This window comes from Homo sapiens, chromosome 6, assembly GCF_000001405.40.
Source record: "Homo sapiens chromosome 6, GRCh38.p14 Primary Assembly".
Lineage (NCBI taxonomy): Eukaryota > Metazoa > Chordata > Mammalia > Primates > Hominidae > Homo > Homo sapiens.
The window spans coordinates 32,752,994-32,767,919 of NC_000006.12; the positions used below are offsets into that span (position 1 = coordinate 32,752,994).

The 14,926-nt window shown below is 44.1% G+C and overlaps 1 protein-coding gene across 5 annotated transcripts; it reads right to left on the reverse strand.

Moving 5' to 3' along the window:
• Positions 1 to 3,104: 3,104 nt before the first annotated feature.
• HLA-DQB2 (major histocompatibility complex, class II, DQ beta 2) lies at positions 3,105 to 10,539 on the reverse strand. Of its 5 annotated transcripts, NM_001300790.2 has the most exons (6): positions 10,381 to 10,539; positions 8,667 to 8,933; positions 5,857 to 6,138; positions 4,780 to 4,890; positions 4,288 to 4,311; positions 3,105 to 3,473 (listed from the first exon to the last, which is right to left on the reverse strand). In NM_001300790.2, the coding sequence occupies exons 1-6, from the start codon at positions 10,475 to 10,477 to the stop codon at positions 3,460 to 3,462; spliced, it is 795 nt and encodes a 264-aa protein (NP_001287719.1). In that variant the 5' UTR covers positions 10,478 to 10,539; the 3' UTR covers positions 3,105 to 3,459. The 5 variants fall into 5 exon arrangements, with proteins under 5 accessions (NP_001287719.1, NP_001185787.1, XP_011512862.1 ...); NM_001198858.2 differs by lacking the exon at positions 4,780 to 4,890; XM_011514560.3 differs by lacking the exon at positions 4,288 to 4,311.
• Between the last annotated feature and the right edge of the window lie 4,387 nt (positions 10,540 to 14,926).

The window sequence follows — 14,926 nt, forward strand, 5'->3', positions numbered from 1 at the left end:
TATGCAAAGAAAATGAAATCTGTATCAAAGAGATATCTGCACTCCCGTGTTTATTGCAGCACTATTCACAATGGCCAAGAGATGGAATCAACCTAACTATCCATCAGCAGATGAATGGATAAAAAAAATGTGGTGCATATACACAATGGAATACTATTCAGCCGTATAAAAGAAGGAAATCTTGTCATTTATAGCATGGACGAACCCATTGGACAGTATGCTAAGTGAAATAAGCCAGGCACAGAAAGACAAATACGACATGACCTAACTTATATGCAGAATCTTAAAAAGTCAAAGTCATGGAGGGGGTGGGGTGTGGGGAGAGGGAGAAAAAGGAATGAGATGTTGGTCAAAAGGTATAAGTTTCAGTTAGAGAGGAGGAATAAGTACTGAAGATCAATTGTGCAGCATGGTGACTAGTTAACAATATCATACAGTTGTCCCTTGGCATCCATGAGGGATTGGTTCTAGGACCCTTCCTGGATACCAAAATATAAGAATGCTCAAGTCTCTTATTAAAAATGGCTTAGTTTTTGTACATCACCTAAGTATGTTTTCCCATATACTTTAAATCATCTTTGGATTACTTATAATACTTAACGCAATGTAAATGCTATGTAAGTAGTTGTTATACTGTATTGTCTTTTAAGTTGTATTATTTTTATGTTGTATTGTTGTATTTTATCATTTTTTCCAAATATTTTCAATCCATGGTTGACTGAATCAGAGGAGGCAAAACACACAAATACAGGGCCAGCTGTATTGTATATTTGAAAATTGCTAAGACAGATTTTAAATATTCACACCACATAAAAAAATAAGTATGTGAAGTGATGGATATGTTAATTAGCTTGATTTAATCATTTCATAGTGTATACATATATCGAAATGTCAATTGTACCTTATAAGTACTCAATTATTTGTAAATTAAAAATAATTTAAATTTTTTGAAATGTAACATTCTTAACTTTTTCTTGTTCAAATAAAGTTTTCTGTTCTTTATTTTCAAAAACTTTTTTGTTTAAAAATATCATCTCAATCATCTCAATTTCTATTAACTCAATTGATTCACCCTATTAACTTATGAACTCTCCTCTGAAGTTAAACATTCCATGATTATTGAGAAGGGTAAAGTTAATGTGCAGTAAGATCTTAGCCCACAGTAAAAAACAAATCTCAGTGATGTCACTCAATAAAGAGACTTAATTCCACAGTTTCTCCAGTGACTCAGGTTATATGGAGTTTCCATCGTCTCATCGTGCATCTACTTGCAAGTTCCATTGGCTAGTATTAGTCAAATGATCCCAACCTAACAGCAGAAAAGACTGGGAGATGTAAAGAACCTTATGGCATATTGACGAGCACCATTGTCTCTGAAAGATATGCTGATATTTCCTAAGGTAAGGACAAATGCTCACAACTGGCAGGTTGTTCTCTAGAACACCCACATACTTTCCTCCAAGTTATATGCCGACTAAGACTCAATTCTTCTTGTTAGCAAACTTATTTATAAAAAATGTACTTGTTACTTTAATTATCAATTAAAGATTATACTACCCAATGAAATCTGGGTGCAAAAAATAATTGTTTCTATGAAACTGTCAGTGGAAGAAAGGGAAAAAGACTTTGATCCTCTCATAACCAGGATGTGTTCAGTGTGACAATGTTGAACTGAATGTTCTAGAATCTGTGTTGGACTGCATTAAATACGGTCATAGGCTGCATGCAGCCCGCGGGCTGAGGGTTGGAAAAGCTTGTCTGACTTAATGACAAACCCAGAGACTGACATGTAGACCATCTTCAGGGCTGAGCCCACATCAAAGGGGTCACAGTGTGTAGTAACATCCCTCATAATCGGGAAGAGGGTGTCATCAGGAATGAACAGGTTACGATGTCAATGACAAAGGGAGCTCAGACAAGGAATGAGATGGCTGTGAACAGGTACCCCCACTGAGGGACCCTAGAACCAGAGGAAGCTCTGCCGTTTGACCTGTGTCCTCCACAAGAAACAAACTTCCCCTACACCACTCTACTGTGAGGAGGCTCTGGAGGCTGAGGTGCTCCACATGGCTGGTGTAGACATCTGCACACTGGAAGTCATTTCCAGCATCAGAAGGATCTGGAAAACCCAGTCCTCCTTCCTAATAAGAGGGATGAGCACGCTGGCTGGCAGCATCCTGTGCACAGGATGGTGTGTTTGGGAGGTGTGCATGTTACCCAGGCTTGGACAATCAGAATCTTTCCCCAAATTATTAAAACTCTGGTAGACACTTCAGAAACATATACAACAAAGACAGACACACACACACGCACGTACACACACTCACACGAAGAGAGAGATGAGATAAGGTGTGAGGTGATAAGAGAGATGCAGAAAATAAAGAGATGCAAAAAGAAAAAGAGAAAGAAATGCAGATAAATAGTGACAAAGGATTACAAACATAGAGAAAGGCAACAATGCAGTGAAAGAGACACAAGAAGGGAACAAAGACAAAACTGGAGAGAGACACACAGAAAGAACTACACAGGGACAAAGAGACACACGGAGAGGAGAGGAGGATGCACAGATGAAACTATAACAGAAAGAGAAGAGAGATGAAGATCTCATTGAATATCTGGAACTAGTCACTTCTGAAACCAACATTCCTTGTAACATGAATCAAATATCTTTGGGTTGGGTGTCTATCATTTGGAACCAAAAATAGTACTTTCATTGCTGGTTATGCTTTCTTAAAAATAAAAATTAGTCTTGATTGATGTGACTTGCCAGCCAGAATATATTTGAAACATCAGTCACTATAGTTGTCCCCAAACAATTCCACCATGCTTACTTAGACAACACTCGCCAAACCAGAAGAGAGGCTGGGATGTCCTAAGGCCATTGCACTGAACATCAATATTAAAGAACCATGAATGATGTGATGACTGAATTGATTTTCTACCTCCTCTGCCTACCCTTACTTTGCACCCCAAGATGCTTTCAGTGTCTTTTCAAAGTACAACCCTCTTTCTAGCCACGGTTTGGCTGGGTCACCTCAAGGTATGTTCCTTCACTTGGCAGTGGTTTCCTACCTCTGCTTAGTTAAGGAAGTTCCGAATACAGATAACTCAGAATCAGGTTTAATTATGGGAAAAAGCACTAAAGTCAGGTAAATGATTTTGTTTGTCATGCTTCTCTTGACAGGTCTGTGGGGGGAGAATGGAAACAGAGATGCCCCTTGGGGCCTGAGTAGACACAGCTTGCAGTGCACAGGCAGAGGCTCTGGGTCAGTGCAGGAAGCAGAGTCACCACCAGTGCCTTGGGATGGGGATCACAGAAGGTGACCTGTGGCTGCATGAGCCACTGTAGGACTCTGACCTCAGTGGGACAGGGTGACACAGGCAGCTAGGAATTCTGGGCAGGGGCAGGTGGGCATTACAGAAGAGTGATGACCAATCCCAGACAAAAGTCCTCAGGAGTCAGTGCAGGAGTCCTGGAGAAGAGAGACGAGGCATGATCAGCACAGGGTACCCTGAGGGACACACCCTCTCCCCTAGTCCTCAGTTCCCTCTGTAGCATCAAACAGAGGATGCTGAGGTCCAGGGCATATCATCATCACGTTCCCCAATATCTGTGTAAAGGTAAAATCAGCTCATGAGGACACAGAACTTCAGCTTGATGCAGATATGTGGAGGTGGGGGAACAGCAGTTACCCTTCTGGGTAATATGAAGAGTTTGATTTTTTTAGTAAATTGGGTGACACTTCATCTCCACCACTAGCAGCCTCTTTTAGTCACTGAAAATGCCTACAGGCAGTAGCTAACAAAATGTGGCACAAAGTGGGCATCACCCTACTATCTCACATTCAAGATGTGGCTCTGTCCCCACATTTCACAAAAAGATGCCACCAAAGTTAAGGCCTGGTTCTAGGAAACAATCTCTGGAGATTCGTAGAAACTGGCAAACTTTTCCCCTAAGTCTTAACCCTCATAGCAGCAAACAGGCCATGAACAGAGACCACTGTGCCCTGGAACACTCCGCTCATGCTCTTCTTTTTTTTTTTTGAGACAGACTCTAGCTCTATCGCCCAGACTGGAGTGCAGTGGCGCCATCTTGGCTCACTGCAACCTCTGCCTCCTGGGTTCAAGTGATTCTCTTGCCTCAACCTCCCAAGTAGCCGGGATTACAGATGCACACCACCACGTCCAGCTAATTTTTGTATTTTTAGTAGAGATGCGGTTTCACCATGGCTCTTCCCTCTTATGCCTGTGCCCTCTCCCCTGACTGGATCATGGCTGAAATATTACCTGCTGGTGGAGGCCCTCGAGGTCCTACAAAAGGAAGTTATACAGAGAAAGGTCTTGTTAAACAAACAACCACTATCTTACCCCAAAGGAAAATGACACATGTAGTTTAATTGGGGTTATATCCTCTTCCCTCCCATGTTCTTTAAGTCCTTAAGCACCCTAAGTTAAAATCCCCCAAAACAAAGGAAATTGTCACTAGAAGACAAGGAGGCCGAGGCTCTGACCCTCATAATGGAGGAAGCTTTTAGAAAGGAGCCAGTGAGACGATGATGAACGGTAAGGACGCCCTGGAATAAGCTCTATCAGTCAGCTCTGGCAGCGCTACCATTCACCCAGTAAAATCAGATTCCAATGCCTCCTCCAATCTTGTCCTGTCTCCTCGCACTTCCTCTCAGGGTAAGGAGGAAAGAGCTACATCTAGAGACAGAACCTCTCTGAATAGAGGGTCTGGGTCACAGCTCATCTTCCCCATTTCCCCCTTGGGTTCCTCACCTTTCTGACCCCTGTGACGGATGATAAGGCCCAGCCCGAGGAAGATCAGCCCCAGCACGAAGCCTCCAATGCCACTCAGCATCTTGCTCTGGGCAGATTCAGACTGAGCCCCTAAGGAGCAGAACTGAGTGTGAGTGTTTGTCCCCACACCCCATAATGTCCTTGGTACAGGAGGTGGAGATGTCAGGGGACACTAGTTCTCCAGTCTGACCACCCTAGGGAAGAGAAAGACCAGCCAGTAGGTCTTTGGACACAATAGGTGGGTGAGGGAGAGGAAGAAGCACACCCCTGCCCCTCAGGACTTCATCCATAACCTTAAACCCTAAGGCCCCAGTCACCAGCCCTAAGTCAGTCTCTCATAGCTGTCAGAGCTGGTTCTGGGGCTTTAGTAGTGTTGATATGGTTTGATTCTGTGGCCCCACCCAAATTTCATGTTCAATTGTAATTAACAATGTTGGAGGTAGAGCCTGGTGGGAGGTGACTGGATCATTAGACCAGATTCTTGTCACCATCTCCCTTAGTACTGTCATTACAATAGTGAGTTCTCATGAGATCTGGTTATGTAAAACTGCGTAGCACCAACCCCCTCTCTCTCATGCTCCTGCCCCTGCCCTGTGAGACACCTCACTCCCTCTTTTCCTTCTGCCATGATTAGGAGCTTCCATATGTCTCCCCATAAGCAGAAGCCACTATGCTTCCCCTACAGCCTCAGAATCATAAGCCAATTAAACCTCTTCTCTTTATAAATTACCCATTCTCAGGTATTTCTTTATAGTGGAGTGAGAAGAGCCAATTAAACCTCTTTTCTTTATAAATTACTCAGTCTCAGAGATTTCTTTGTAGCAGTACAAGAATGGACTAACACAAATGTGGAAAGTGATCTCCCTGGTATCTGGAAAGACAAAGAGATCAGGATTCATCTGATGTGCTTGCCATGGGGCAACAGGTGCTCTAGTCTCCTGTGATTCCCAGCTCAGTAGTGATGTCAGGGACAAGAGATGGGATGGGAAGGATCAGCGGGAGCTCTGCCCTTTGTCTTGTGGGGCCCACAGTAAAAGGAAACCAGTTTCCCCTTACGCCACTCCACGGTGATGGGGCTCTGGAGGCTGGGGTGCTCCACTTGGCAGGTGTAGATGTCTCCACGCTGGGGAGTTATTTCCAGCATCACCAGAATCTGGAAGGTCCAGTCACCATTCCTAATGAGGGAGGTGGACACAACACCGGCTGTCTCCTCCTGGTCATTCCGAAACCACCGGACTTTGATCTGGGCTGGATAGAAATCTGTCACCGAGCAGACCAGCAGGTTGTGGTGGTTGAGGGCCTCTGTCCTGGATGGGGAGATGGTCACTGTGGGCTCCACTGAGGGCAGTAACAGACAGGGAAAGATATAGGAGTGAGATGTGAGACCACACAGCACGCCTGCTGTGAGGAAGGTCCCTCCTTGGAACCAGAATAGAAAGATACCTGGAGTCCAAGTCTTGGATTAAGGTTCCTTCAACAAATATAAATTTGACAATCACTGAGAATCCAAAAATAAACAACAAACCCTGGTTCCTGCCTTTATAGAACTTGCAATCTAGTAACAGAGACCAAAAAATTGAATGTTATTTCAAAAGTTTGTAATATTTGAAGGAAAAGTAGGCAGGCCTTGAAAAAAACTAACACTGATCAAACATCATGTTTGCCCATAACTCAATTCCTTTATCTTCTCAGAGCGCTGCTCATGGTCAAAAATGACACACCTTTCCCTGCATATTTTATACATCTTAACCTTTACCTCTCTGGCCATTTTACTGCATTTCCTTTATTTCTTTAGTGTAAAATTATAGTAAATATTTAATGTATGCTTTATTTACTTGGTAATATGTTCTCTCATTTTCCTGCTTTTTCTTAATTTCCTTTTAACCCTCAAGATAGTGTAATTACTAGCTGCCTACCCTACTCCATCCCCTTGCTATTGAGAATTACTTTCTTGTTCTGAAATCAGACATTATCATGTACGTTCTCCATAGGAAATATTCTGAGATCCATGCAGAGGTTGGCCTGGGTGAATGTGCCTGTAATGCAAACATATACATATAGCTGGGATTTGCTGAGGTCAGCAGGTAGCACCCCAATTAAATGGCACTCATGAGCCATTGTCTGGAAGGAATCTTGGTTTCTGCTTGGACTTGAACTTTTCTTTAGGCCCTCCTTCCTGGAGTCTGACTGAAATAACAGTCAGCTATGTGGGGACTTACAAGATTTGTTCATCTTAAAAAGACTGAAAGTAAAAATAGAGGGCACAAATTCATGAGAAAAAAATGATAGAATAACTTTTATAGAAATAGACTTGAAATGGCAAAAATATAAATAATTGACAGCATTAGGATGTGGGTCAGAAGAAGGCAAGGAAGTTTTGTGAACCTGCATAGATAACACTGGGGTCAGACTAGGGATTGATTAATCAGTGAATTTTCAATGCCTTGAAAGTATCATTTTGTCCCATTAACAGTGAAAACAGGCAGGAATAGACCCATTGCTGCTTCTTGTCAAAATTGGCTTTAACAAGGCTTTACTTCCCTTAGGCTGTGTAGACGAGTATTGAAGAACATAAAAGAATGCTGTGTATTTGGGGGAGGCTTCAGGTCCTGGTGCATAACTGTGGGTTGATTACTTAAAGTGTTTATCATGTACCAATATTACGATATATAAAGTGGCAATGCTAATCTCTAATGCACAGGTAACTGTGCTATTAAATGACATAACTTAGATGGTGTTTGCTAAGGCAATTGTCTAGAAATAAGTGCTCACTAAGTGGGTAAAATTGACGTTCAGAATGTTTATGCCTGAAGTGGATAGTGATGGGGGGAGGGAGAAAATCTACTCCAAAAGCAACCTGAAACTATTTTTATTCAATAATTTAGTGGCTTCAATCTATGTATTCCAAAGCTTCTGCTCTTTTCATTGTGCCATTTGTTCAGCTTTTCTAAGAAATTAAAACTGCCTTATAACACCATTCAAGCGTTGTTTTTATTTTCAGCAAACACCTTTTTCCCCAGACTGCATTCACAAACCTTACTAAGATCCAAGTCAATAAGAGTTTACAGCATTAAGCAAAATAATAGAAAATAATTGATAAAGTCCATCTTTAAGGCTCTATTTATCCTCTGCTTTCCCTTGAGCCTAAGTGGATGGGCAGCTGAGTACATTTATTCATTAATTTAACAGAAGATCATTGAGCTCATACCACATGCCGGTCCACGAGTCAGGTACTAGGCATGCAATGATTAAAACACTCTCACCTCAAAGAGCTCCGCCATGAATGAGAGCCGTTTAAGAAAACAGAATTACGATGAATAATAATTTGAAGCCAAAAGTTAAAATATCTTATTTCACAACTGTAATTGCTGGATGCCCTGCGCGCAGTTGTGGAGCAGCCCTAACTCCACCAGGCCAAGCCTGAAGCTTCCTGCGGCGCGAGCTGTGCAAGTGGGCCTTGCTGGGTGGGGCAGTGCTAGTGGGGCGGACGGGCAGGGGAAGAGGGCGGGCATTCGGGCAGAAAGAACTGCTTAGCGAAGGTAAGGCACGAGGAGGCAAACGCATAAGGCACAAGGCAAGAACATGCAGAGCAGAGGACAAGGCCGATGGACGGGGAGGCTGGGGACACACTGGGCAGCCTAACCCAACCCTGCAGGGAACTAAGGGATGCTTTTGTGCATCCCCCTGCTCTGCCCTAGATCCCCGCCCCTCCGATACTACCCCAGCCTCCAAATCCCCGCCACCTTCCTGTACCCTGGGATGGATCAGGGCTCGGTCCTTGAGGCCGCGCCGTCCTCGCCCCTCTGTGCGCAAGAGACTCGGGCCCCGGCCAAGGGTGAGCCCCGCGGAAGGACGACGACGCTCACCTTGCCGCTGCAAGGTCGTGCGCAGCTCCGCCTCGTAGTTGTGTCTGCACACCTTGTCCACCGCGGCCCGCTCCTGCTCCAAGAAGTCCTTATAGTTGTTCCAGTCCTCGATGCTCCGCCCCAGCTCGGTCACCGCCTGGAACTCCCCAACGTCGCTGTCGAAGCGCCCGTACTCCTCGCGGTTATAGATGTATCTGGCCACACCGCGCACGCGCTCTGTCCCGTTGGTGAAGTAGCACATGCCCTTAAACTGGACCAAGAAATCCTCTGCGGAGAATCACGGCGGGTCAGTCAGGCCCCAGCACGGCCCTAGCCCCAGCCCCCAGCCGGACCGCACCCTTCAGCCGCTGCCCTGACCCGGCCAGCAGCTGCGAAACCCGTCCACGCGAAATTGAGTTCTTGGCTGGGCCCGTGCCTCGTGCTCCGGACCTGGGATCCTCGAGGCATCTCTGCCCCAGCCCTGCCCGCCCTCTCTGAGGGCCTCGGGAATCTGCCTTCCTTTAGGGAGGTAAGAGGGAAAGCCCAGTCCCTGCCTGAGCCTGTGAACCAAGTGAAGAGGGCAGTCGGACCGATTCAACATTGACCTCTGCTCTTAGATCAGGGCGTTCTCGTATGAAATCCCATTTTCCATGGAGCTCTTGGGAATCTCGGAGACAGAGTTATCCACATAAATTTGAGAGTTCAAGGGAATAACGAGAAAGGTTCAGGAATTAAGCTTGTTCTCATCCTGATGTAAGTATTCTCTTGGTCCCTGGGCAAGAGACCAAGTAAACCCATGCCTGGATTTACTCTCTTTCTGCTATACCCGCCCAAGTGCCCTGTGAGGTTCACTCACTTCTGTGTTAGAAAGGACCTACACCTCCGGAGTCCTAGAAGGAAACATTTATTCATGGAAAGAGCCCAAGCTTTTGAATTCTATAGGGTCCAATTAAACTGAGTCAATCACCAGCTTGGGCAGGTTACTTAACAGAATATCCATATCACAAGTATAATTACATAAAAGGAAAATCATGATACCTACACATAGGATGTTAGGAGGAGTGAGAGAGGATTTATAGAAAGTACTGTCCTGTGTCTGAATGGAGTGGTTTCTCAATATGTATTATTTCCCTTCTTTACTTCCTCCTTCCTATCATACTAAATTCAGTCCACCATCAACTCAGGTCCCTGAATCCCACTCAAGTCACCTTTTGCCCATAAATCAGTGAAACCCAAAGTAAGACTCCCTGTCTGTGGTCATCCAGTCACCTTCCCTCAGTACTAAGAGTTTGCCTCCACAAACTCTCCACTCGAGTCAGTAGTATAGACTCCTTTACCTCCAATACAGAGACTACAGACACCATTGCTGCCTTACATTTTCCCAGTGCAGAAAAATCCTACTGTGTCTTTGGGGAAATGCATATCTTTGGGGAAATGCATAACCGTGGAGTGCCATGGTCATTTTGTCCTGTCACAGGTAGTGAATGCACACTTTGTCTCCTCTTTCCTCTCTCCTCCTTCAGGCTTAAACCTGTGGGATTGGGGTTGGATTATCCTCACCTCACCCATTATAAGGTGGAAATAAAAATGCAACATAGCTCTATTTCCCAAAAAGAATAAATGGTGATAAAAGACTGTGTTCTGAGATCATGGAGATCACCATCCCCCATACTCCAACCCAAGGAGAGCCTGTTCCCACAGTGGTGGCTCTCGAGAGCAGCTGCCCTGCACTTACTGGGAAAGTCTCTGGCCTCAGCCACTGGGGTGCTCAGCATCACCAGCATCACGGTCACAGCTGCTGCCCAAAAGCCTCCAGGGATCTGCAGAGCCATCTTCCAAGACGTAAGTGAGACCAAGGAAAAAGCAGTGGTAGTCAACACAGCTCAAACCTAATGGATCTTATGTACCTGCCGGAAAGAATAAAAACCTCTGGATGTTTCCATGTGTGGTAGGATTGGGGAGTCCCTAGGAAAGGAACCAATCAGCACTGGAGCTGAAGGACCTCATCTGCCTCTGGGCAGACGTTTTTCTGTGAAGATTCTCACTCCAATGCCTGGCACTGTTTCTTCTTCAAATTGCACTAGATGAACATTTGAGGTGAAGATTTCTGAATAGCTGAAGATTGAATGGCTTAGGGGTTTTAAGAAGCAAAAGACAAATGTGATTCAAGAGTAGACATCTTACAACCTATTGTTCTTACACTTGGGATTTTTAGTAGGGCAAATTAAGTGAGGATCATATTTCAGGGAACAGAAAATTGTCACAGAAATGTTCACTTCTATTAGACACTCTGAAGAGCCTTAAGTTTTGGTGAGAAGAGCAAAGTTCTTAGAAGGAAATGATGGTGAGTTGCAGTTCTACCACTAATGTGCTTTATGAGAGTCAACAAATTACTGAACTCCTTTTCACCCCCAGGCTTCTCTTTGCAAAATGTGGATCATGTTTTATGCATTTTACATCTAGATCTTCACATATAAAAATTTAACATTAATATGACTAGTTTAATATTACAAAAGCCTCCTCCACTGTTATGTGTAACTATCAGGCTAATAGGAGGAACAAGAAAAAAAAAAGTTGACACCCAGCCCTACTGGCAAGTGATTCTTTATTATGCAAGAAGGTATTGCATTCATGCTCTTCGAGTGAAAGTATTTGTTGACTTTTCTCTTGTAAGTTCTTCAGCTGCTTAAATCCTCCCTGAACCATGAAACAGGTGCATCTGATATGAGCAAAGGCACAATACACAAATTTTACAGTATTCAGACACAGTCACATTTAGTTTTGAAGATAGAGAGCAAAAGCTGTGAAGAAGAATTTCCTGGGGGCTGAATCGTATTAATGATGGAGCAAATGTTTAGAGTTACAGGTCATATTGGGCCAGCCCTAAACATCAAATCCAAAATGGCAGAGGTACCAATGTGTTTTTATAAATAAATTTCTTACTTATCAGGCTTACGTTGCCCATGGCTAGGGATAGTACTAATGGTTATAAAGCAATTAAAACAATGCCTGACAAACATTACTGGTAATCCTAACCAAGACAATAAATATCTCCACCTCTCTTCTTGTCTCCCTTCCTCCCACTCTTCCCTGTATATTAGTAAAGTAGAAGATAGAGAGCATCTAAAAGCAGAATATGTTTACCAGGTAAAAAGAAACAGGGAAGAGACGGTAGCAAGAGGTTTGCAATAGTGGCACATGAAAGCATTGAGCCACTCTAATATTCTGTATTATTCTGTGCATAGATTTAGATCACCTGAGACTGGGAACGTTGTTACTGGGCTTCTAGCAGCAGTGGTGTACTCAGGATCAGGGTAACCCCCAGTCTAAGGAGGGTCTCCACTGGTGCGATGGAAGCATAAAGGAGGAACATCAAACTCAGACCTAGAACGGAACTGGGGGCAAGAAAGAATAGGCAGAGAGGGACCTGAAGATGCCCTCAATGTCCTCTCAGTCCCCACCTCAGCGTCCCTCAGAATAGAGGCCTCTGGCCCACCCCTTCTTCCTGTTCAAAGGGAGAAGCTTCCCTCAGGTTTATTCTGGGGCTGTGAGGCAAAGTCTACGTCAAACCTAGGGACTCCCCAGTCTCATGGGCCTCTTCAAACAGACTTTTTTCTTTTCTTTTCCTTTTTTTTTATTTTCCTTTTTTCTTTTCTTTTCTTTTTTAGGGACAGGGTCTGGCTCTATCACCTAGGCTGGAGTACACTGGCATGATCATGGCACACTGCAGCCTCAACCTCTTAGGCTCAAGTGATCCTCCTGTCTGAGCCTCCCAAGTAGCTGGGAGTACAGGCACACACCGCCATTCTGTCTAATTTTTTAAAAATTTTTTATAGAAATAGGATTTTGCTATGTTGCCCAGGTTGGTTTCAATGTCCTGGCCTCAAGCAATCCTCCCACCTCGGCCTCCCAAAGCACTGGGATTATAGGTGTGAGCCACCACACCTGGCCACACAGACTTTTCAACTAGCAACGAAAGTGTCAGCTTAGAGCCATTTTCTGACTGGCTAAAACCTCATCTGAGGCCAGGTGCAGTGGCTCACCCCTGTAATTTTCTAGCGCTTCGGGAGGCCAAGGCAGGCAGATCACTTGAGGTCAGGAATTTGAGACCAGCCTGGCCAACATGGTGAAACCCGTCTCTACCAAAAATAAAAAAAATTAGCCAAGTGTGGTGGTGCATGCCTGTAATCTCAATTACTCAGTAGGCTGAGGCAGGCGAATCGCTTGAACCCAGGAGGCAGAGGTTGCAGTGAGCTGAGTTCGCACCACTGCACTCCATTGCACTCCAGCCTGGGGGACAAGAGCAAAACTCTGTCTCAAAACAAAACAAAACAAAAAAAAAACACCTAATCTAAAAGGCTTTGGTTTGGGGCTTCTGCCAGTTGTGTCCCCCTGATCCAGCCTTCTCTACAGTTCTTTGCAATGTTCCTATCCCTGCTCCATTACTCAGGGCAGCCACTATTGGCCTGGCCAGAGGAAGGCAACTCAGACAAGCATCCTGATTCTGAATGCCTCGCCCAAATCACCCACCCGGCCTCTGTGGGGACAGAGCGCTTAGGATGAGACCACACGCACCCCATGTGGGAAGATGGGATAAAGACACTGCTGTTATTATGGGTCAAGGTTACACTAGGGAGACTCTCCCCAGGGCACATTGTCTCTTCTTTCAGGGCAGAAAAAGGTTGTGGACTCCTTCTTTGTGGAATCAAGGGAGAAATCATCTTCCCTGGTCAGCATCTCTTAGAATCTGTGCCTGGTCAGTGCAGTTGAATGTAAACACAGGAGTCATCCTGTCACCAGAAGGGTTATCCAGGACTCTGTCCTGCAATTACTTCCAGAATCAAGAAACACTGTAGAGTCAGAAAGGTTCTGTGGCCTCCTTAATGCCAGTGGTAACATAATTAGAAATACGGCCCCAGAATATCATTTTCCTTTAATAAAAATTTATCAAGTAATTATCTCCAAATTTTTCAAAACCTTGTGAAGCTACTTACATATTTCTCTTATATCAACTTTTAGGTAACCGGTTACATGAATTTTTCATGACACATATAAGGTAGGCCTTTTCTCTTTAAACAGTTATCTCTTTAAAATGACAATTTAGAAAGTCTGAAGAGAGAGTCTGTAGCATTCAGAGGCTGTGCTCAAACAGTGCCTCCTTCAAGCAAGTAACCATGGGGAGACTCCATAGTGGAAGTCAGGTAAGGACTTGGAGGATACCGCAGGGTGAAGGACTAGGAGTATGGGAAAAGCTTTAGCAGGAAGATAGAAAATCAGATGATACAAGGCATTTGGGACACTTGGGGGAAATGGGGAAGGTGAGTGATCTCTGGCACAGGAGTCCAGAGCCCACCAGTCTCATGGCTTCTCATGCAGTATGGAAATGGCCCTTGAAAACAGAAGAAGACTGGGACGAAAACCCAGGCTGCCTGCTATGGACGTGTGTACAACGGAGCTTTGTTTCCTGATCTGTTTCTACAGGTTTCTTCTTCCAGTCAATCTCATCCATGCATCACCTCAGCTGGACCACTGACGATTTCATCACCCAGAGCTAACCTACACATGTCACTCTTTGCAACATATCTGTTCGTCTCTACTTCTGGTTCCCTAGTAATGCCTGGGATATTTCCAGAGACAACTCTTCCCCAGCTTCTAGATTTGTAGTCATCATGTGCCTTCATTCCCAGACAAACCTTAAATATCTCTCTATGAGATCTTTATAATGTCTTCTTCTACAAGTTCTTACCAGTAGAGAGAAGAACTAATATTCAGGTATGTAAAAAATATTTCAGTCCTATTTAAGCTCATGTCCAAGTACTCAAGAATTCAAGTGTCCAGCTCAGCTCAAGGTCATGGTTCATGCAAAAAAGCAACATTAGCAGTAATATTTTGGGGAGACTACTCATATCCTCAAATAGGAAAACTTAAGATATTCAATTTAAACCTCAATGACATATCAATCCATGCTTTTCAGGATGACTATTATCAAAAAGACAAAAAATAACAAGTGTTAACAAGGACGTGGAGATAAGGGAACATTTGCACACTGTTGGTGGGAATGTAAATTAGTATGGCCACTAGGGAAAACATTATGAAGGTTCTTCAAAAAGTTAAAATAGAACTGCCATATGATGTAGCAATCCCACTTCCAGGATACAGACAAAGGATTTTAAATCAGTAGGTTGAAAATATATCCACACTCCCATGTTCATTGCAGCATTATGCACAATAGTCAAGGTATGAAATCAACCTGTGTCATTCAGCAGATGAATGGGTAAAGA

Coding starts and splice junctions, on each gene's coding strand:
- HLA-DQB2 (XM_005249051.5), bottom strand. CDS start 10,477: ATGGCTCTGCAGATCCCTGGAGGCTTTTGGGCAGCAGCTGTGACCGTG. Junction 6,139..8,666: donor CACGACCTTGCAGCGGCAAG/GTGAGCGTCGTC, acceptor TACTGCCCTCAG/TGGAGCCCACAGTGACCATC. Junction 4,891..5,856: donor CCCCATCACCGTGGAGTGGC/GTAAGGGGAAAC, acceptor TCTGCTCCTTAG/GGGCTCAGTCTGAATCTGCC.